Genomic DNA, 22764 nt, shown 5'->3' on the forward strand with positions numbered 1-22764 from the left:
CACCTATGCACACATCATGCTGAAAAAGGTGGACGTCCCCTCACCGTACCATCTGCATTTCATAATGACAGCTGGACATCTAGGACCTAACTAGCCAAACAGTTACTCACTTTGGGAAATGCCTCAGATACGGCTTCTAAATGAAAGCCATCTTTCCTGCATGCCTCATTCATTAGCAACTGGCACTTAAGTTATCAAAGCTTAGAACTTTCTAGCTGAAACCATGGGGGAAAAAAAAAAAAAAAGGAAGCCTCAGGAACAGTGGCACAGGGGCCAGAGAGCACTTAGGGGTGGCAGCCAGGACGGTCTGCAGAGGTTCCAGGTGACCTGCATGTCACCTCTGTGTCTGCGGCTGACCTGCTTTAATTCACAGCCAGAGAGAAGCAGTGACCACGCCGGCCTGTGTGTGCCTCTGCAGTCACCAAGATACACGAACACCTCTGCACACATGGGGTGCAGGGAAATGACCACAGACGGCACACACCCTGTGCTGTCAGCAGCTGCAAAATCACAAGGAACATCCACATTTCTCAGACCCAGCGCTGCCACCCAGGGAGCTGCCCGTTCATCCTGAGGGTGGAAGGAAGTCCAGCATTGTGGACAGAATCAGCAACATGGGAGGGCATAGGGCGTTGGTATTTGCCGACACAGGTGGGGTGGCTGGTCCCCCTCTGCCTCTGCTATGCTGTCCAGGGTCACCTGTGCACAAGGCCTGCCCTGAATGACCTTGGGGTTCACAGACCCCCCTCCCCAGTGGACCCCCCTAGGGCACCCAGGCCCCAGCACGGACCCCAAGGGTCAGCCTGGGTTTGTCTCTGCTTCTCTCCTAGTGCCAGGTGGAGCTGAGTGAACACTGCATGCTGTCCACTTGGGCAGCTGCCGGGGGATGTGCACCTGGTCTCTAGGCTGCGGAGGGAGGAAGACCTGCCACACGCTGTCCACTCTGACAGCTGCCAGGCGATGTACACCTAGTCTCTAGGCTGCAGAAGGAGGAAGACCTGCCACACGCTGTCCACTCTGACAGCTGCTGGGGGATGTGCACCTGGTCTCTAGGCTGCGGAGGGAGGAAGACCTGCTGCACGCTGTCCACTCTGACAGCTGCCAGGCGATGTACACCTAGTCTCTAGGCTGCAGAAGGAGGAAGACCTGCCGCACGCTGTCCACTCTGACAGCTGCCTGGGGACTTGCACCTGGTCTCTAGGTTGTGGAGGCAGGAGGACCTGCCACACGCTGTCCACTCTGACAGCTGCCTGGGGGATGTACACCTGGTCTCTAGGCTGTGGAGGGAGGAGGACCTGCCACACGCTGTCCACTCTGACAGCTGCCTGGGGGATGTACACCTGGTCTCTAGGCTGCGGAGGGAGGAAGACCTGCGGCATGCTGTCCACTCTGACAGCTGCCTGGGGACTTGCACCTGGTCTCTAGGTTGCGGAGGCAGGAGGACCTGCCACATGTCGTCCACTCTGACAGCTGCCTGGGGACTTGCACCTGGTCTCAAGGCTGCAGAGGCAGGAGGACCTGCAGCTGCACGGGATGAGGGGGCAGGCACAGGAGTAGTCAGGGTACCTCTCCCTGTGGCTGGGGGTTACCTTGGGGCTACACTAGGAGATGATGGAAGTTTCTCCCAAACCTAAGGGCTAAGAGTCCTGTGAGTAGGAAAGGAGCTGTGCTTACAGATTAAATGTGCTGCAGACAGCCAGGACCTGCGCACCTTGGGAATCCCATCCACACCAGCGGAGTGAGCGCACTTCCTTCTATTTAGCCATAGGTCTCAATCTCCACCCCCTTACGTAAAATCCCAGAGATAACCCCCACCACAGGCACTGAAGAAAGCAGAAGTAAGTTCCTGGGATAGGAAGGAGAGGACAGAACTCATTTCCACAGAGCGCCAGAGAAGAGCCCCGTCTGAAAATCCCTGTGGTCGTACCACAGACACCAGGACTTTCCTCACACCCGGAGAGGCTGGATCAGTTGTGGAGGGCTGACCTGGAAGTGCCTCCTTACCACGCCCTGGGAGAGATGATTCAGAGTTATTCCTGAATAAGAGGCTTAAGAACAGGACTTCATGTCTGAACTCTCCTACAGCATCCTAATCCTGTGTTCCCTCCAGCAAGGTCACCTGGCTGGCAGTCACACGGCCGTGACACAGATTGCCCCTGCCTGGTGACCCCCATCTGCTGGGAAACCCAGGGACACCAGTGGCACATGGCCCGGCCTGACCCAGCGTGCAGAAATGACACCCCCAAGGCTCCAGGGTCTGGGTCCTGTGTGGGCAGTTGAACAGTTGCCTGGGAATAAAATGCTATACCCAGAAGGTTCGGGCAGGGCTGTGCTGCTGTGGAATCTTGGAGTGGGGGGACACAGGCCGCCAGGCACCTCACCTGTGTTCTGAGGTCTGTGATGGTCTTCTGCATTTCCAGAACAAACTCTCTGAAGTCATTTGTCCCAGATGCATCTGAGCGTGTGCTGAAGGCTGAGGTGCTGTTGCTGAGATGTTCCCCCTGTCTCCCAACACTGTGGTGAGGGGAAAGGAGGAGGAGGGAAATATAACCTTGGCAGGTCACGCCGGGTCTCATTTCAAGGTTTCCTGGGTGTGCACCGCCCCTGATGCTCTGAGCTGGGTCTCATTTCAAGGTTTCCTGGGTGTGCACCGCCCCTGATGCTCTGAGTGGGCAGCACAGCAGGACGCAGGCTGCGGCCTGGCCCCCAGTGCCCTGGGACGTCCCTGCCAGGAACCATCCTCGCCACAGGCCCACAGCAGGATGCCGGTCCTACTGCCCGACGCCCGCGGTGCGAGGGCCCCTCTGCACATCATTTGACCTCAGAGACCACCATACCTGGGTATTTTCCGTGGTCTTGTTTTCTTGGTCGGCTTGTCCTCCTGGTAGCTGAACTCAAGAGACCGTCTGCCTCGGAAATGATAGGAAAAGGCATTGAACTGCCCCCTGGTCCTACAGTCTAAAATGGAAGCACAAAGCAGAATGTCAGCTCTGAAGGCTCTGACCTCGGGGAAATTAAGCACATCCTGCCAACTATGAAGTCTTCACTGGCTGCCCGTGGAACAAACTGTGGCACATTTCAGTGAGGCAACCTGGCAGCTGGTCTGCGGCTCTTACCCTCTCCTGGTCTGAGGGGCCAAGCCTCTCTCCACCTGTGCCCCAGCCCTCATGACCTCCTGGTGCTGGCCGCCCTGAGGACAGCTGGGCACACTGAGGAGGCTCACCACGCCATCTAACCACACCCTCGCGGAGTTCCCTCCACCCACAGATGGAGGCTCAGGCACTCTGCCTCGGAGATCAGAGTCTGCTGTTTCTGGGGGTCCCTCCCCGATGGCCAGATGACAATCTGCACTCTGGAGTGCCTTAAAATTATGCTACACTCCCTACGTCACACTGCCAGCCCCAGTGTCAGACAAGAGGCGGCCTGACCCTGCTTCTCCTGAATGTAGCCCAAACACCTCCCTGCCTAGGAGTGGCTTCCTTCTCAACCTGTGGTGGACTGAGAAGCCCTCAGTGCTATGCCTCACCTGAGCCCCGGGTGAGTGAGGGGCCCTCAGTGCCGTGTCCCTCCTGGTCCCCGGGTGAGTGAGGGGCCCTCAGTGCCGTGTCCCTCCTGGTCCCCGGGTGAGTGAGGGGCCCTCAGTGCCGTGTCCCTCCTGGTCCCCGGGTGAGTGAGGGGCCCTCAGTGCCGTGTCCCTCCTGGTCCCCGGGTGAGTGAGGGGCCCTCAGTGCCGTGTCCCACCTGGGCCCTGTGGACACACTATCTAACGAAGTAATGGGGTGTTCAGTCTGTCTTGTACATCATCCCCACCCAAGAAAGCTGTGGCAGAGCACGAAAGTGAAGGGCAAATATGGACCTTTGCAAAATGCTAATGTCTCAGGAAGCCACTGGAGTAGAAATTCTATGAGAAGAGAAGAGGCACGTGCAGCATACACCTCAGACCCCATGCTAGCTTTCCTGTCTCCCTTGAAGGGCGGCCGGCTCCTTCTGGTCTAGCATTTGTCTGACTGGCTGGAAAGAGTATCTTCAAGACAGAGACCTAAAGCTCCCTCTGCCCCCACAGCGGAGCCCACAAACAGTCCCACTGAATGTGTTTATTTCCGCAGTTAACTATACAGCTTCTGAGTAAACCCAGCTGGCTGGACCCCTCGCTTCTTCCACCCACAAATCGTCTCAGGAGCAGAGAAGAGCAGAGTTTCTTAAAACTCCTGGGCACACAAATACATCATAAAACAGCAGCTGCCTCCCAGACTACCGCAGCCCCTCCCAGCAACACCTGGGGTCAAGAATGAGCCTCACTGGCAGGTGGGGTCCACCCAGGGCTGTGCAGGTCTGGGGTGGGTCCCTGGTAGAATTACAGGGCGACAGGGAAGCAGCAGGGCCAGGACACGGTCCCAGGCACTGTGGGGTCCCTGCCAAAGCGCACACCAGCCCCAACCCCAGAACTCTTTGATGGGACCTCCGTCCCTCCAGGATGGCCGTCTCTTCCTCACACCCCAGGGCACGGCTGGGCCACACCTGCTCAGCGGCCTGGCCTGCACCTGCTCTGTGCTGCCCAGGCTGGCCAAGCCAGGAGCAGGCTGGCTTCCCAGACCTAGTGCAGACCCCACACAGCACTTGTTGTAGGCATCAACGAAGCAAATGATGAAAAGTTGTAGCTCAAGGACGTTCGCTTTAAATGTGTCTTTTTATTTTTTTATTTTTTTGAGACAGTTTCACTCTTGTTGCCCAGGCTGGGGTACAATGGCACGATCTCAGCTCACTGCAACCTCTGCCTCTTGGGTTCAAGCAATTCTCCTGCCTCAGCCTCCCATGTAGCTGGGATTACAGGTGCCCGCCACCACGCCCGGCTAATTTTTGTATTTTTGTAGAGACGGGTTTCACCACGTTGGCCAGGCTAGTCTCGAACTCCTAACCTCAGGTGATCCACCTGCCTCGGCCTCCCAAAGTGCTGAGATTACAGGCATGTGCCACCGCCCAGCCCCCAATGTGTCTTTTTAAAAAGTTTAATTGAAAAGTAAATAGCAATTGACATTTGGTTCTGTCAAATCTGAGTTCTGTTTTCGTATTTTTCTGCTGTATTTAGATATGGCTTTTGGGGTAAAATAAAAACAGGTAAAGCTTATCAAGTATTCTCTAAGCTGTGTCAGCTTAAGGCCATGCCTGGTATTTTAAGAGGGAAAAGTGTCCGGAAGAAACAATGTCAGCAATTGCTTCAGCAGCTAAGCCTCTCCCACAGTGCCCTGAGAGGAGGAGGGGCTTGTAACATGCGGGGAACAAAGACTGGCTTTAAAGATGAAGTCTTTCAAAGGACTTTGGATTTTCTTAGCAAAAGAACAGAAAGCCTGGCTGTACTTCTTAATAAGCAGCTAACAGGGGCCTGGTAAAGTTATCAGAAAATGGGTTTTTGTATCATTGGCTTTTCCTAATCATTTTCAAGAGAACAATTTTCTACAAACAGAACAAATTTTCTACCATGCTTGTAGAAAAGCATTTTGAATTGGATAAACCAGTGAGGATATAAAACAAAAACAAAAACAAAACAAAACAATAAAACAAAAAACAGATATAAGTTTCCAACAGATGTAATAACAAGCATGTAAATAATTTGGAAAATTGGGTACCTAGCAAGCATAATTTTATTTTTTATGTGAATTCTCCTATCATATATACTTCCATGCATGTGTGTGTGGGTGGTGGGGGGTGCAGATGAGGAGGCAGATGCAGGATTAGATCACACACACCCCCCACACACCCCACAGGTACACACACTCCACACACACACCCCACAGTCGCACACAGACACAGAGGCACGCACTCTCTTAGAAGAAGCTGCTAAAACACAGCTCTATTATCAGTGCAGATTTCAACGCTTACTAAATTAAATAAGCTCTTGGCCAGAACTATTACTTCAGGAAAAATGAGGTGGTGGAGAATATGTGGACAGTGTCTGTACTTTGTGTGTCTCTTCTTAAACTACCAAGTGTCCACAGACACCACAAGCTCCACAGATTGCCGGGTGAGGCCGGGATCTGGCCCCACCTCCCGGTCACGCTCACCGCAGGTCCCCAGATCCCCCCATTGTGGTGGGCCCTGCTTCTCTCACCACAAGAGTGAGTGCTCCACAACTTGGGTTCTAAACATCCCCAGTTTGGTATTTTATGGGGATCTGATCATAGTTTGAATAAAGCCAAAATTATGTTCAAATTAGTAATGGAAATGGAGGTTAACCAAGACTGGGAGTTAGGAATGCGAAGCAGGAACTCAGCCAGGAGAACCATCGCCTCACACAGCAGGCCACTGACGCCTCTGCAGGGAAGACGGAGCTGGCACTCCAGGGCACGAGTGCCGGGGCTGTGGGATTGATATCAGGGCGTCCCTCAGCTACAGGGCCCCCCGCGCCAATCATGAGACCACCTCCTACCTGCAGGGCTCCTCACGAGATATTTGATAACATCTATCTTCAGTCACTTATGTTACAGATATTTACAACATTCAGATTAACTTTTAAGAAAACCTGATATATTTGATATGCTTCTTCCATATTTTGATTTTCGTCTTTTATCTGGCTACACAAGTACTGGAAGCTAGACATACATTAGGCTTTAAGGAAAAATTAGGGGCACATCTTGCTGAAGCCTGGGTTTCTGTTTCTCTTAGTGTTTTAGTTATTCTGAATGTTCTCCCACAGCACTGCCAATTCCTCAGAATCACCAACTTTGTTCATATTTTTGGCTCCGCAGTCCATCTCAGCATGGATACAGCACGATTTAAATCTAAAGCTGAATATTTTGTTTTCAGTTTTCAAGATTAGGATGACATCTGCAGGTCATTAAGCACCCGCCAAGCAGTCACCAAAACCAGGGATGAAAAAGGAACAGACATGGTGCCCCTGGCACGCACCTTCACAGCAGTCCTGCCACACCCGGAGGTCTACCCTGGGGATCTCGTCACAGCTGCCGTAGCCGTGAGGGAACTCCGCCACCCTGAACACGTCGCTCTGCACCCGGGTGATGTTGTCCGCGTTGTCGCATAGGATCCTGGCCAGCGACGTCTGCTTGATCTGAGTCAGCTGGGCCGGGGAGAACACCCCAGGGTTCTCATACCACAACCTGGATCCCCCAAAATGAAAGCAGGATCAGAGAAGGGCAGGAGACTCACAGGTCACTAGGAGCTGAGTTAAAATCTCCCCTGCTTAGTTCACAGCAATACAGAAACCACTAGGTTTGATTAGGTGTCACTTAAAAATGGACTCACACACTGCTCACATCCCCTACCCCATAACAAAACCAAAGGCAGACAATCTGGTGTAAAAATGACAGTGTTGGCCAGGTGCAGTGGCTCACGCCTGTAATCCCAGCACTTTGGGAGGCCGAGGTGGGCGGATCACGAGGTCAGGAGATCGAGACCATCCTGGCTAACACAGTGAAACCCCATCTCTACTAAAACTACAAAAAATTAGCCGGGTGTGGTGGTGGGCACCTGTAGTCCCAGCTACTCGGGAGGATGAGGCAGGAGAATGGGGTGAACCCGGGAGGCAGAGCTTGCAGTGAGTCGAGATCGCGCCACTGCACTCCAGCCTGGGTGACAGAGCAAGACTCTGTCTCAAAAAAAAAAAAAAAAAAAAAAAAAAAGAACGACAGTGTTAGCTCTTCTGACTAGCAACAAAGACGATGGGCAACTTTAAAAAAACAAAACAAAACTGGCATGGCAGTTATTTCAGGTCTGCTGAAATAGTTTGTAATAGGTAGGGTCTGCCTTTCCACTACATTAAAGTAAAGTAATAACAGTAGACTAGAGATAAAACAAAGATCTTGCCCGAAGCCCAAACTCCTCTAAAGTCCCACAGTGGTTTAGCTGTATGGACTGTCCAACAGGTTTACAGGAACAGAAATATTCCTATAAATGAAGGGGTGGGAAAAGCATCATTGAACCTGGTGTGGTTGAGTTTTGAGGCTGCAAGGACATGTAAGCCCAAGGCGGTGCACAGAAGATACCAGGGCCTCAGTGCCTTCCTCATTCTCAACCGGGGACACACAGAAGACACTAGGGCCTCGTGCCTCCCTCAGTCTCAACCAGGACAGCTCTTCTCCTCTGGAGTCCCTAAGAAGGTGGCTTAGGAGCGTGCTCCCCTTTCTGGTGCACGTGCTCACCTGTCCCCATCTCGCAGGCGCTTGAACTGTGTGCTGAGAAGACACATCAGGGTGGGGCCCAGCCGGCTGCCAGGCACCAGGTCCTCCACCACGAGCGCCGGAAACAGGTCGATGTTGAGTGTCGAGCCATACAACCTAAAAAATAAAGAGAAAACTGAAATCTACCTAACAAAGCTGCACGTGGTAAAAAATACAGCAAATATAAAAACAGTTCTTTCTTTCTATCACTATTTTACATTATTTAGAATTTTACTTAACAAAGAAAATATTTACTTCTTTGCTGCATCTCTCCACAATGCTTTAAAGGATTTTCCCTACTTTCTATTATATATGTGAGACACACACACACACAAACGCATTTATTATAACAAATTTAGAAAAGCCAAGAAAAGATAAGGAAGAAAATTTAAGCCACACCTTTTCCAACTATTCAGGGATAACCACACGTAACATCATAATGTATACCCTTCCAATCTTTTTAAAATAAACATATGAACAATAAACTATATATAGCTAAATGTATATAGTTTATTGTTCATGTGTATTTTTAAAAGTATATACATTTTTAAAGAATAACATTTGATTCTACTATATATTGAAAATATATTTGCCATAAAGAAAATATCTGCTAAGCAAAGATAGGGCAAAAAACTTAGGTTTATGTGTTCAAGAACAAACATTTTCATCGACTTCTTCCAATTCCTTAGAAATATAGGCTTATAAGCAACATGTCACAACTTCTACTACGAATCAGCTAATCTCATCTTAGAACTCGACTACGCAGCAGATGATGCCTGTTTCAACTGCTATTCAAAGCTCTACTCGATTTTTAACATATATATATTCTATAATTCTCACTGCCCTTTTCTACAAAACTCAAATCAGTGACCACCAACTGAACCCTAGGATCAAGACAGATTTTGTTGCTTACTGAACAGGATGCACACAGGGCTGTGTCCTCACTGGCCATTGGTCTTACCGTAGAATAAACACAATTTTATGTAAACTAGCATTTAGTCTTTCAAAGACAAATTGTCCCTTTTTCTTCTAAGTTCAATGACATTCAGGTTGAACTTCTAGCTCTAAGATGTCCCCTGGGAGTGAAACTTGGTCGGGAGGACCCTGGCAGCATCTGGTCTGTGGCTGAGGACAGCACACTAGGGCCACCAGAAGCGTCCACACCTTTTCCCAGAGGACTCCCTCCTGCTCCGGGCGGCTCCTGCTCTGGGTGCCTGCTCTCTTCTGTCCCCCACCGCTGGGAGGGACTCACAGGGGCTGGAATAGTCACATTCCTTAGGCTCACCAGAGTCTAAAGCCTCCACCTGAATCCAAGGAGCTTCCTCCAGGGAAGAGACCTCGCAGTTCCGGAATGTCCCACGGCTGGGGATGGGCAGCAGAGGCGAGCCCAGGCCAACGCCACGCCATCCACTCGCCGTGCGGCCGTGAAACACAAAGTAGATGAGAACTACACAATCTCTACAGTCTGCCGAAGGCAACCCCTCTGCCCTGTGAAGTCCTCCTGGCCCCATGGTCTCTGATGGTCATGCATCTTTTCTCATGTTTATGTTTCATTTCCCCTTAGTCAGCAATGGGCTGAGACAGGAAAACATAAATAAAGAGACGAGGGGCTCAGTGTGTGGGTAACATCCTTAACTTCTTTACCAGGGACCTAGCATGCAACACAGCCGCGGTCCACCTGGCGCTGGGCTCCACATCTAGCTCTTTTGAAATGTTTTGAAATAAGTTTGGCAAAAGAGAGAATCATCTGGGAGAGTAATCTGTGTCAGTTTGGACAAGAACAAAGGAGGATATTTAAGCACATAAAAAACACAGACAGTTCACATCAGTCCTAATTCAGCAAAACCATGATAAAAAAATTACACTGGATTAACGGAGTGCGCACACACTTCCAAATGCCAGTAATTTAAGCGCATTATTTAAATGAATACTGGAACATATTAAATTTAATAGGACATCATGTTCATTTAGTCATAACTTACAATAAATTACAAGTAAAAAATCACTTTCCCCTAGAAGGCACAGGTCAGATCCTAACAGGGTATGTCCTAACTTCAGCGTTAAGTAACTTAGGAGTCAACTGCAGAGTCCATCAAATACAGGAAGACAGTCTTAAGAAGAAAGGGTTTTTCTTCTTTTTAAAACAATGTTTTTGAATGGGAATAACATCTCCTAATACACAGTGACCTGTGAATCTGATTCATAATCCAAGGACTGAGAAGAATCACAATGGGAAAACACTGATGAGCAATTATTTTATTTTTATTTATTATTATTTGATTGAGATGGGGTCTCTGTCACTCAGGCTGGAGTGCAGTAGCGTGATCTCGGCTCACTGCAATATCTGCCACCCAGGTTCAAGCAATTCTCCTGCTCAGCCTCCCGAGTAGCTGGGATTACAGGCGCCTGCCACCACGCCCAGCTAATTTTTGTAGTTTTTAGTAGAGGTGGAGTTTCACCATCTTGGCCAGGCTGGTCTTGAACTCCTGACCTCGTGATCCACTCACCTCAGCCTCCCAAAGTGCTGGGATTATAGGCATGAGCCACCGGGCCTGGCTGCAATTATTTCTATTTCCTTAAAATACAAAAAGCAAATAAACTGGTAGAAATAACATGAAAAAAAAGGTAGTGAGTAAAAGATGTGAATATCTAGCAAAAAGGAGAGCCGCTGAATGTCTCCACTTTGGGGAATTCTGAGTTAATGAGAACCCCACTGTGGCACCGAGTCCTGGGAAGGGGACTGGCTATGGACCCGGCAGCCCTGATCCTACCCCAGTCCTAGGCCTGGGTAGTGCTGTGGTCACTGCTTTGCCTGTAAAACTTTGCCATTTTTTCCACCCCACAGGGTCCGAGGTCTCCTAATCTACCTGGCCAGCTTCCCTTGTCTCAGGGGTGACAGCGTCCCATTTTGCCTTTGTGGCAGAACAAGGAGAACCGCACCCACAGGTGATCAAGGCTGTGGCTCAGAAGCGGCGCCATCTGTGGCGGTCATGGGCAGGTGGCCCCACAGGCCTGGGTCTGGGCAACACAGTGAGTATGGAAGATGCTACAGGCCAAGCCTTAGGGGCTGGTGGCCCCAAGGGCCCGGATCTGCAGACACCAAGCTCTGCCTCTCTCTCTGCCCCTGATACAACAGCAGGAACCCGAAGCTGCCCAACAGCCACAGTGTCAGTTTTGGTGTTTTCTGGTGCGAACAGTGTATTTTTCCCTGCAGTCAACCCCTCTGCCAGAAAAGTATAGCTCATCTCTAAGCTGAAAATGTGCCACAGCTCAGCAAAGCTCCTCTCTTGGAACAAAACAGGCCGGTGGAAGGGCCCTCCACCGTCCATCCACCCCTGGCTCTGCCCCCTCCCCACAACCACGCAGCCACGGGAGGCTGCAGGTTCCCATCTTGACCTTCATGGACTTGACCTTCATCTCACCTCTGCACGACACGAACAAAACTCACACACAGAGACAAATAACACACACACCACAGTTCAGGTGTTCCAGGTGCCTAGGTACACGAGCCATCCCACACAGCCTCTTCAGCTCACCTTTTCAGTTTCTCCCGGATCTCAGGGTTTTTAATCTCATTTTTCAGGTCCTCGAACGTGTGTGCCGCCGATAGATTGCAGTAGACCCTGTAGTCGTGGTAGGGTGGGATCCCGTGGTCCCGGCCCCGCTGGATGTTGATGGCCGCCAGGTCCAGAGCCACCGTGTGTGCCATGGAGAACAGCCGCTCCGTGAGCTCCGTGTTCAGCAGCTGCGAGGGCACACGCATTTTCCCCGCCACCCCGAACAGCCCCCTGAGAAGCGGATCGATGCCGCCCTCATTCACAATCCGGAAGGGAGAGAAGAAAGCTTTGTGAAGGGGGAGGTGATCTTGTGCAATGGGCTGGAAGTTCTCGTCCAGCCGGTAAAGCAGTGGGTTGACAAGCGTGTGGCCAAACCTGAAGGCCGCGGTGGCGAAGGCGTTGAAGATGCCAGCATTGATGCCGGGGTCGTAGCCGTGGTACTCTCCCAGCGTCCTCATGCCCACCTCCCCCAGGATCTTCGGGAGCCAGTGCTGGTAGGTGATGTGCTGGATCTCCGCACCCACGATCTTCCTGGTCTCATAGTAGATGGTGTCGCCGTCCCAGTGCGGGTTCAGCTTGAGCAGCTCCGTGGCAATGCGGTTGTGCTCGCGGAACCACAGCGTGTGCATGCTGGTCAGGCCCAGCTGCTCGTTGGCGCGGTGGTCCCCGGCCAGGAAGCAGGGGATGGGGCTCTCGTTCTCGTCCCGCATGCACTCCGTGGGCGGCCCGGTGGCGAAGGGGAGCAGCGGCTTCCCGGACCGCTGCACGATGCCCTGCCGCAGCAGGCCGCGGTGGCTGGCCAGGTCGCGGATGCTGCGGGCCTCATGCTCCGTGCTCCCGTACACGTTGGATGCGTCTATGTAGGAGGTGAGCTGGTTGATCTGCTCCCGCGGGTACACGGAGTTCATGAGCAGCGAAGTCATGCCGCTGCCGCACACAGGGCTGGAGCGCACGAAGAACATGCAGCGGGCCCCGCTCCTGGCCCGGGAGTCATTGGGGGGGATCATGACAGAGAAGCAGGGGGGGTCGTTGCTGCACACGTTGCTGCAGTGCTGTCCGTCGGAGAAGCGTGCCTGGCTCAGGGCCACCACCGTGGAGTCGAGGTCGTGGTCCAGGAACTGGCCCCACTGCATCAGCATGTGGGTGAACTGCTCGTCGGGTGTGACGGTCTCCGTCCCGATCAGGGTGGTGGACACCAGGCGCGGCATGGGAAGGGCGTGCCCGTTGTACAGTCGGTGGGGGTTGATGCCCCGAGGGGTGTTGAAGCCATTCTCGTACACGGATTTCAGCAGGCGCTCGAAGGCGGTCAGCGAGGCGCCCCACATGGGGTGCTGCAGGTTGTTACAGGTGCCGTCGTGCGTCCGGTACTTCTGGTGGAAGCACATGTCCGAGCAGTTGTTCACGCGCCGGTGGGCGGTACAGCCCGACAGGTTTGCGATGAGGTTCAGGTACTGTGGAGACACCAGGTCGTTGTAGTGGTAACCTGGGACGTGGAGAAAAGCAAGACGCACTCAATTCCCCTGGAGGATGTGTGAGGGCCCGGTACCCCTTGGCACCTCTGCCGCTGACATGGGGCTATCTACCCCCAGCTCATGAAACCTGTTGTGCGCCATGCAACAAGCGCTTCCTGCTGGAAACCTGCTCACCTCCTGTTTGGTAAAACTGCTCCTCCCCTCCTCCAGCCCCAAACACAGGTATTCTCTCCACAGCCCCAGTTTCTGGGCCCTGTCTCCCCTCCCCACTTAGCAGTCTCATGGTTTCAACCAGCAGCTCTCCTCTGGGAGACCCCTAACCGATGGAGCCCGACCCACGTTGACCAGTCCAGGCTGACACTGTTCCAACCTCACTTTAAACGCCCCGTGTAAGAGACAGTCACCACACCTCCACACGAGTGCACACCATCGGTCTCCACAGGCTGCCGAGCAGGGCATTTCCTGACACCTGTCACTGCACATCTCGGTCCACTGAGGCTTCATGCTGTTCCCTCAACGTCCAAAAGAGTGCCACTTCCTTTCACGCTACCTCAAAATGTTCCTAGCCGCCGCGCCCTCCTCTCCATTTCTCTGGCAGAATCCTGGGACTGATTTCCATGGCACTGGCCTTCAATTCCAGAAGGGCCTCCTGCCTGGTGGAGGTCATCCACACGCCCTCCCCACAGCAAGCGCACGCTCCCATGAGCCTGGCACAGGCTCCGACTAGGTCACCTTCTTGCTCAGAGACCTTCTGTCTTTGCCCACTAGCTACAGAAGAAATTCCAAACATGGTAGCCTGGGCCATCACTCCACAGATGAAAGAGATCTTCCTAAGTTCAGATCCTAGTCTTCGCCTTCAAGACACCTGCTCCAAGCAACAGCTACTCCACGTCCTGGGGTCAGACACACTCAGATCTCTGTGTTCGCCAAAGTGCTTCCTCCACATATTCATACATCCTAGGCCTTCACCTTCCTCAACACTCCTCCTTTCCAGGCACATGTCATGCCTGCCGAAAAGCTACACACACGCACACACACATGCACGCTTAAATGTTTTCCATTCACACATGCACACACTCACATGCAAACATGCTTACAGAGCCACACTCACACTTTCACGTGTGCACATACTCACAGAGTTCCAAGCCATCACTGCTTCTTTTTTCTAAAGTTTCTCCAGCCCATTTCTGCTTGTCAAGATCACAGGTATCACTATGGACACCTTTAAAGAAAACAAGAGACAGCCCCTTTTCTGTGGGGGAGCGGTGTCCATAACACCCACATAAGAATGCAAAGAATTGGAAGTGAGGCATTTTCCAGGCTGGGGAGAATAAGTCAGAAACACACACCCTGGTGTGTTGGGTGGGAAAGGTCTGTGCAGGGAACATGAACCCCGGGCTCCCCTCAGCCCCTGGTTCTGTTCTGTCTGACTTTTCCCAGAGGCTGAAACAGTGAGCTGAAACATCTGGCCCTATTTTCACAGCTACTCTTGGGAAGTCCTACAGAATTATCAATCTTGAACATCCATAGAGCCAAGAAAGCAGAGTGCCAGGAGGAAAAGCACTTCCTCCCAAATGCCTGGCTGGGCTGTGGGGCTGGTCTCCGGGCTTTCCTCCAGAATGTTCACTTTTTCCGTGGCGTTGGCCATTGGTTCAGAGGCAGACCAGACCCGCCAACCAGAGCAGGTGGCACCGACCCTGGCCCCAGTTTCCCAGGACTGGTTTGCCCACATCTGTCCTCACCCCATGCAGAGTGGTCACCCAGCCCGATGCTTGAAAATGCATCAAACCATGTTGCTTCTCTGCAGGAAACCCTAAGGTTCCCATTTCATACACAGCCAACGACATATCCTTATATTCGCTCCCAGGCCCTTTCTGGTGGAGCACAAATCTCCTTAACTTTATCAGCCCTTCCTCACCCCCTTTCCAGCCACAGTGACCACCTGCTGTTCCACTATGCTCCAACGTGCCCCACCTCCAAGACTCTGCATGTGTGGTCCCCTCAGATGCTCCAGGGAGGCCCCCTCGCCCTTGTGGGGTCCCTGCTCACGTGTCACCTTCGCCCATGGGGAACAGCACCCCATCCCAGCCAGGGCACCACCCACCTCCCGCCTGCTGTTTCTCTCTGGGTCACTCGCTGGGGCTTCTTATGTGCAGGGGCCTCTCTCTGGTTTTCCATCTGCATTTCTCTGGAAGGTCTGATCTTTGAGGGCAGAGGTTTTTATTTCTTCCGTTTGTGACTGTAGGCCCTGGCCCAGGACAATGACTGGCATAGAGGGTGTGCCCTGACAGGCAGGTGGAACGAATAAGTGAAGAAATGAGTGCCTGCATGTGCACCTAACTGCTGCTTGGGTAAACAGCAAATGTATAAAATGATTTCACATTGTTGGGGTGATTTTACTCTTTCCTTTCTGTCTTTCCCTGAGTCTAAATCTTTCTATAATTGGCATGTAATGACACACAATGGACATGCAATTCCTCACAAGGAACAGCTTCCAACAGCCTGCCTTTGAGGAGACATTTCCAGATGGCTTTATTTCTGTGGTGGCGGCAGAACCCACTTGCTGGGCTGCCACAGTAATGTTTAAAGATCTGATCCTGTAACTAAATGAAGAAAGGTAGGGAGTAGCAAGAAATTACACTTAGTAACTCCCTCTTCATTCTCTGGAGAAGAGAACATGGCCTTTCTACCAGGAGACTGGCACCAGGGACTTGGGAAGGGGCTGGGACCCATGCCTGGTACCTCTCATCCTAGTCTCCCCCTGCACCTGACAAGCAGAAAGTGCCCAATAAATACTTGTTGAAATAACAAAATGGGCTCTGATGCTTCTCCCCAAGAATGTGCCTGGGAGGTGAGGCTGGAGTTTCACCCATCGAGAAAAGCAGAAACATCCAGAGGTCTCCAACTCCAACATTTCCTGCCCTGCCCCCACCCCCGCCCCCAGCCACGAGAGGCCAGGAGAGGATCAGGAAGCAGGAGCTGCGGAACATACAGCTTCACATTGGCTGGTGCCCAGGCTTCAGCACCAACAGGGCTCCAAAACCTAACAGGACGGGGCTGGCTCAGAGCAACACTCTACTCCGAAGACGGGCATATATCACCCTACAGGTCTCAATTCCACGTCTCTTTCATTTAACCATTGAAGAACATTTTTTGCTCTAATCGTAAAAGTTATGCTCAATGAAAACAATTTGGAAAACTGAAAAATTATAAAGCAGTTCTTTCATCCCACAGGGACAGCTACTGTTACATTCTCCTCCGTGCTCTGTGTGTGTGTGTGTGTGTGTGTGTGTGTGTGTGTGTACAGAACCATGAGTAACCAGCTGCTGCTGAAAATGATGTTTTTACATGAGAAAGTCAGGGTCTTCTATGGGTTCATCAATAGTACTACTACCAGCAAGGACAATCGTGACATGTAAAGGCATCTGTTATTTACTGGGCAACGGCAAAGTGCCAGAGCAGAGTGAGTGGGGGACATACCTCCCCCAACAGCATCTCCACACCAGCCCGAGGTGATCTCATCAGCTGGTTTCACAGACCCGGGACTCTTCCAAAACAACCCTCCTAATACGCGTGGCACCGCATTCCCAGGACACAACGTCACTCAGGGAGCAAGCACGCTGCCAAGTCCTCCCTTATGGCTCATTTGTTGCAGAGGGACTGGGCTTGCATAACCCACCCTGGCCAGGATGGCATAACCCACTCAGGGCAGGTGGACCTGCTGTAGCCTGATCAGCACTCCAAGGGACTTCACGTCCCCCAGAGATTCCTATTAAACCAAAGTGAGAGCGACAGGGCTGTAGGGCTCAAGAGGAATCACAGTTTAAGGAAATAATTTCACAGTTCATAAGCACAGTGGGAAAGAAAATGCTGGAACTCTTCCCTAGGAATGTGACTTAACTGAGGCGTGTTCAACCCCGTTACTCAGGCCATGGAGGAGGAAGAAAAGGCTTTGGCACTGACTTGTTCCGTTGAGGTCGACCATCAAGCCATGCTGTACATGCTCCTGAATGAGCTGCAATGTCCGTTCAAAGATTTCTCCCGCCCGTGCCTGTTCAACTGTGTAAGGATCCCTCGGATACCGGAACAAGGCCAGCAAATCATTTGGAGAACGAGGACGGCTAACCAGAGTTTAGGGGGAAGAAAGGAAGAATGAAACAAATTACTGAAGATAAAATTCATAGTACCCCAAAATATAATCATTGCTATTAATATTTCTACGGCTACTTTCTACAACATAATGTACTATACCTTCCTCATCCGAAGTGGGAGGCAACAAAACAAAAACAAAACAAACAGACAAAAACCGGAAGACACTAAAAACAAATAATTAATTAAGTCAATAGAGAAAATCACAGATATTGCATTTCACATAAGATGCAGAAAAACTGCTTTGGAATCAGCAACGTGAACAAATACACTAATGACTTTTAAACTATTTGTTTTTGCCAAATCATTTAGTCATAAGCCAAAGGAATGAGTTGAAATTTTCAAAGAATGTTTTGGTTGTGGATCATAGCCAAATTCTATTTGAAAAGCACACATCCTTCTGTTATTTCAACCCCCAGAAAACTCAGATGCCCATGTTGTTCATGATTTTTAAATTAAACATTTTGATCATCAGATAATCAAATCAAAATTCATATATTAGAACTGCATGCATTCTTTAATCACTCCCACCTTCACCCTAAAGCTCAGTGATTTGAGGGTCAGCGTGTTTACAGCCCCACGATACCTGTCAAACAAATGTGTTCGGGTTGAGTTTATAGCTCTGTCAACAGTCGCAATCGCTTCCACGATGGAGGTAGCTACAAACGGATCTCCATTTCGACTGACGTCAGGAACTAGGAAAATACAAAGTCGCGTATTACCAGGAAAAATACTGCACAATTACTCATAAAATGATGTCTAGACACTACATCATTAGCCACAAGGCATACTTTTCTCCAAATGTTATTTCTATTTTTCAAACCCAAACTCAAATTATTTTATCACAAATTCTACTAGAAGCCGTTTCAGACAGCATGAAAATTACAGACTTTAGCTTTTGAAATCATGTTATACCTAAGAAGAAGACAGGAAGTAGTTATAATGTGAAGCATGGAAGATCTTACGCTATATGCAACAGCATGTGGGAGGTGTGGACTGAGGCCTCCCTGTGTGGCCAGCCCAGCAGACAAGATGTCTGTGGAGACACCTCAGTGTCCAGCAGATCTCGTCCATTCCTCTCATCAAAGGCCACAGCCTCCCTGGACTCCGGGATCCTAACCCACTCCCCTCTTTAAAGATCTGCTGCCTCCATGATCCCATCTTCTCACCTGTGGACTTGTATCATTACACAGGGAAACTCCCTCCTCACACACACCACACACCACACACACACAATCACATTATACACACAGGCGCACACACACCACCTACATAGAACATTATACACAGACACACACACTATACATAGCACATTACATGCACGCCACACACAGATCCACACCACACATGCACCACACACACAGCACATTATACACACATGTCACATTATACACAGAAACACATACCACACACAATCACATTATATACACAGAAACACATACGCCACCTACACAGAACATTATATAGAGACACACCACGCCACACATAACACATCACACACACGCCACACACAGATACATACCACACACACACCACACATATAGTACATTATACACACACAAATCACATTACACACACACACCACACACATCACATTATACACACACATCACATTGTACACACAAACACACATACACCACACACACAAATCACATTGCACAAACACACCAGAGGTATGCACCACACACTGCACATTATACACAGACACACAGACACCACACACACACATCTGCCCCTCCTGACAGCAACCTGCCCCTCCTGACAGAAACCTGTCCCCTCCTGACAGGGACCTGCCCCTCCTTACTGGGATCTGCCCCTCCTGGCAGGAACCTGCCTTCTCCTGACAGGAATCTGCCCCCTCCTGACGGAAACCTGCCCCCTCCTGACTGAAACCTGCCCCCTCCTGACTGAAACATGCCCCCTTCAGACAGGGACCTACCCCCTCCTGACACATGCCACCTACACAGCACATTAAACACAGACACACGCCACACATAGGACATGACGCACACACCACACACACACAGATTATATATGCAGATACACACAAAAATCACACATCCATCACACTACACTCAGATACACACGACACACACATCACATTAGACACACATACACACCACACAAATACAACACACCCAGCACCTTATAAATAACACGCACATAGCCCATCAAACATATAGATACACACGACACTATACACACAGATACACACTACACATACCAACACCATAGCATACCACACATACTCATCACACTATAAACACACAGACACACCACACAACACACACAAACACACACCCCAAACACCACACAAACACACAACATACACAAACACACCAAACCAAAGAAACACACACACACAGAATCACACACCTTATCTACCCCTAAAGTTACTGCCCTCTTTCTAGTTCCCTCTTGTCATTCTTTTCTGCTTAATAGTAAGTCCCTAGTTGATACTTTACCAAATACTATAAACTAATTCCAACCAACTTTTATTTTTAGTGATGAAAACAGCTCTAACCATCTCACCCAATGACATGAACCCTAATAAATCCAAAGTTGATTTCATTTTTCTTCAACATACGCAATCTTTTGACAGACGCTGACACAGCCCAACACACCCTTACAAAAAAGCTTCTTTCACTTGGCTGCTGGGACACAGCCCTCTATGGGGACCTGCCCCCTCTTGACAGAGACCTGCCCTCTCCTGACAGAAAGCTGCCCCCTCCTGACTGAAACCTGCCACTTCCTGACAGGGACCTGTCCCCTCCTGCCTGAAACCTGTCCCCTCCTGAATAAAACTGGTCCCCTCATGACAGGCACCTGCACACTCCTGACTGAAATCTGCCCCATCCCGACTGGGACCTGCCCCCCTGACAGAAACCCGCCCCCACCTGACTGAAACCTGTCCCCTCCTGACAGGGACCTGCCCCCTCAGTACTGGGATCTGTCCCCTCCTGACAGGAACCTGCCTTCTCCTGACTGAAGCATGCCCCCTTTGGACAGGGACCGAAACCTGTACCCTCTTGACAGGGACTTGCCCCCTCCTGACTGAAACCTGCCCTCTCCGGACAGGGACCTACCCCCTCCTGACTGGAACCTGTCCCCTCCTGACAGAAACCTGTCCCCTCCTGCCTCAGACCTGTCCCCTCCTGACTGGGTTCTACTCCCTCTGACTGAGAACTGCCCTCTCCTGACTAAAACCTACCCCCTGCTGACAGGGACTGACCTTGCCCCTCCTGAATGAAACTTGGCCCCTCCTGGCTGGGACCTGCCCCCTCCTGACAGGGACCCGAACTCTTTAAACTGCAACTTACCCCTCCTGACTGGGGGGGGACCTGCCTCCTACTGACTGGGGGGGAACCTGCCACCTCCTCCTGGGACCTGCCCCCTCCTGACTGAAACTTGCTCTCCCCTGACTGGAACCTGTCACCTTCAGACTGGGAACAGCCCCCTCCTGACTGAAACCAGCCCCCTCCTGACAGGGACCTGCCCCTCCTGACAGAAACCAGCCCCAACCTGACTGAAACCAGCCCCAACCTGACTGAAACCTGCCAACTCCTGACTGAGACCTGTCTTCTCCTGAAGGGGACCTGCCCTGTCCTAACTGAAACCTGCCGCCTCCTGTCAGGGACCTACCCTCTCCTGACAGGGACCTGCTGCCTCCCGACTGAAGCCTGCCACCTCCTGACTAGGACGTCCCCCTCCTGACTGGGACCTGCCCTCTCGTGACAGACACCTGGCCCTCCTGCCTGAAACCTGGCTGCTGACTGAAAGCAGCTCCCTCCTAACAGGGACCTGCCCCCTACTGACAAGGAACTACCCTCTCTTGACAGCGACCTGCCCACTCCTGACAGGGACCAGCCCCTCCTGTGTGAAACCTTCCCCCTCCTGACAAGAACCTGCCCCCACCTGACAGGGACGGGCCCCCTCCTGACTGAGACCTAGTCCTTTCCTGACAGGAACCTGCCCCCTGTTGTCTGGAACCTGTCCCCACCTGACAGGCACTTGCACCCTCCAGATTGGGACCCGCCCTCTCCTGACAAGGACGTGCCCCCTCCTGACCGAAACCTGCCCCTCCTGACTGAGACCTAGTCCCTTCCTGACAGGAACCTGCCCCCTCTTGCCCCCTCCTCACTGGGACTTGCCCCCTCACTGTGATTTCCTTTCTCCTTGTCTCTTCCTCCTGAGCACTCCATTTCAGCTGTGGGCTCTCTCTCTCTCTCTCTCTCTCTCTCTCTCTCTCTCTCTCTCTCTCTCTCTCTCTCTCTCTCTCTGTTACAGTGTCTGCGTGCGTCCACTCTCAGTGTCTTTTTGCTCATTCTGCCTTGCCCGCCCGGCCTCTGAGGCTGCAGCTCCAGCACAGTGACTGGGTGTTCTGGTCCTCCACAGCATCTCCCTGTGTGGTTCCACTTCACGCTGTTGTCTTCAAATTTACACCATCGTCCTGACCTCTCCCTGCAGCTCACTTCGTGGCTCTCACCACCCACTCCAGGCTTTTCCCTTTTCCATGCTCAAACAGGACTCCTCCATCTCTTCTTCCCCAAGCCGGTTCCTCCCCAGCTGTCTCTGGGTCTCAATGGGTGACACTGACAGAGCCCAGCAGTCCCCCCACAGTGCAAGCCAACTACTGCCAGGCCCCCTCAGATCTGCTACTGGCCACGAGCCCAGGGACCAGCCCCGCAGACCCCAGCTGTGGGCCCGGGTGCAGGCACTCCTTCTCCCACTTGGCCCAGCACCCCCCACTATCCTCCCCGACACCTCGCCCTGGACCCTTCATCCACAGCCCAAGCCAAATCTTAGGAAAGCAGACTGGCTCACGGTGCTCCTCTGCTGGGAACTTCCTCATGGCGTCCCGGTATGTCTGCAAGGACAGTCGAGCTCTGCAGCCCAGTTAGCACCAGGACCCCCAGGACTGCCCCAGCCCTGTGCTCCCCACCCCCCGGCATCGGGCTCATTCTGACCCCAGGACCCCCCCACTCTACTCTCCCAGACCAGGCTGCCCCTGCCACCCCCCATCTCCCCGCGGCTCCCTCTGCTCAGAATTCAATACGCAGGCGAGTGCTGACCACCTCTGCTTCCCCCTCCGGCCCATGCCTTGCCCTGCGGTTCCTCACGGACTCCTCACCATCTGAGCGTGACTGCTCATCTCACTGCTTCTTACTCATCTCTCCACCAGGATCTAACTCCATGGAGCCGAGTGCCTGGCACACCTGGCTCAGCACTGAGGACAGAGTCCAGCCCACGAAGGCATTTGCTGAACGAACGACCAAGTGGCGGCGACTATTGGTGATAACTGGGCCAACCCGAGGGCCCTTCTGAACCATCTTCTTACAACATGTGCTCACACCGGACTATGGATGGACATCTCCAGCCTGATTTATTTCACCGCTAACAGACATCACAGGCATG

The 22764-nt window shown here is 51.8% G+C and overlaps 1 protein-coding gene across 5 annotated transcripts in view, besides 3 other annotated features; it reads right to left on the reverse strand.

Moving 5' to 3' along the window:
- The window catches only part of PXDN (peroxidasin), a 113015-nt gene that overhangs the window by 4578 nt on the left and 85673 nt on the right, over nt 1-22764 (reverse strand). For all 5 annotated transcript variants that reach the window (XM_011510396.2, XM_047445789.1, XM_005264707.4 and 2 more), the window contains 7 exons: nt 17936-18044; nt 17164-17321; nt 11708-13211; nt 8154-8288; nt 6904-7112; nt 2838-2958; nt 2382-2514 (listed from right to left, as the gene is read on the reverse strand). In XM_011510396.2, the coding sequence (XP_011508698.1) occupies nt 2382-2514; nt 2838-2958; nt 6904-7112; nt 8154-8288; nt 11708-13211; nt 17164-17321; nt 17936-18044 (2369 nt within the window). The remainder of the gene's footprint in view (nt 1-2381; nt 2515-2837; nt 2959-6903; nt 7113-8153; nt 8289-11707; nt 13212-17163; nt 17322-17935; nt 18045-22764) is intronic.
- Nucleotides 681-1275: an enhancer, noted in NCBI's record as "H3K27ac-H3K4me1 hESC enhancer chr2:1640917-1641511 (GRCh37/hg19 assembly coordinates)". NCBI's record gives its function as "activates a minimal SCP1, AML or CMV promoter by ChIP-STARR-seq in primed H9 embryonic stem cells {active_cell/tissue: H9 hESC(primed)}" and the evidence as "EXISTENCE:reporter gene assay evidence [ECO:0000049][PMID:30033119]".
- Nucleotides 3109-4042: an enhancer, noted in NCBI's record as "H3K27ac-H3K4me1 hESC enhancer chr2:1643345-1644278 (GRCh37/hg19 assembly coordinates)". NCBI's record gives its function as "activates a minimal SCP1, AML or CMV promoter by ChIP-STARR-seq in naive H9 embryonic stem cells {active_cell/tissue: H9 hESC(naive)}" and the evidence as "EXISTENCE:reporter gene assay evidence [ECO:0000049][PMID:30033119]".
- Nucleotides 21032-21693: an enhancer, noted in NCBI's record as "H3K4me1 hESC enhancer chr2:1661268-1661929 (GRCh37/hg19 assembly coordinates)". NCBI's record gives its function as "activates a minimal SCP1, AML or CMV promoter by ChIP-STARR-seq in naive H9 embryonic stem cells {active_cell/tissue: H9 hESC(naive)}" and the evidence as "EXISTENCE:reporter gene assay evidence [ECO:0000049][PMID:30033119]".

The sequence above is a fragment of the Homo sapiens genome, chromosome 2 (assembly GCF_000001405.40).
Source record: "Homo sapiens chromosome 2, GRCh38.p14 Primary Assembly".
Taxonomy (NCBI): Eukaryota; Metazoa; Chordata; class Mammalia; order Primates; family Hominidae; genus Homo; species Homo sapiens.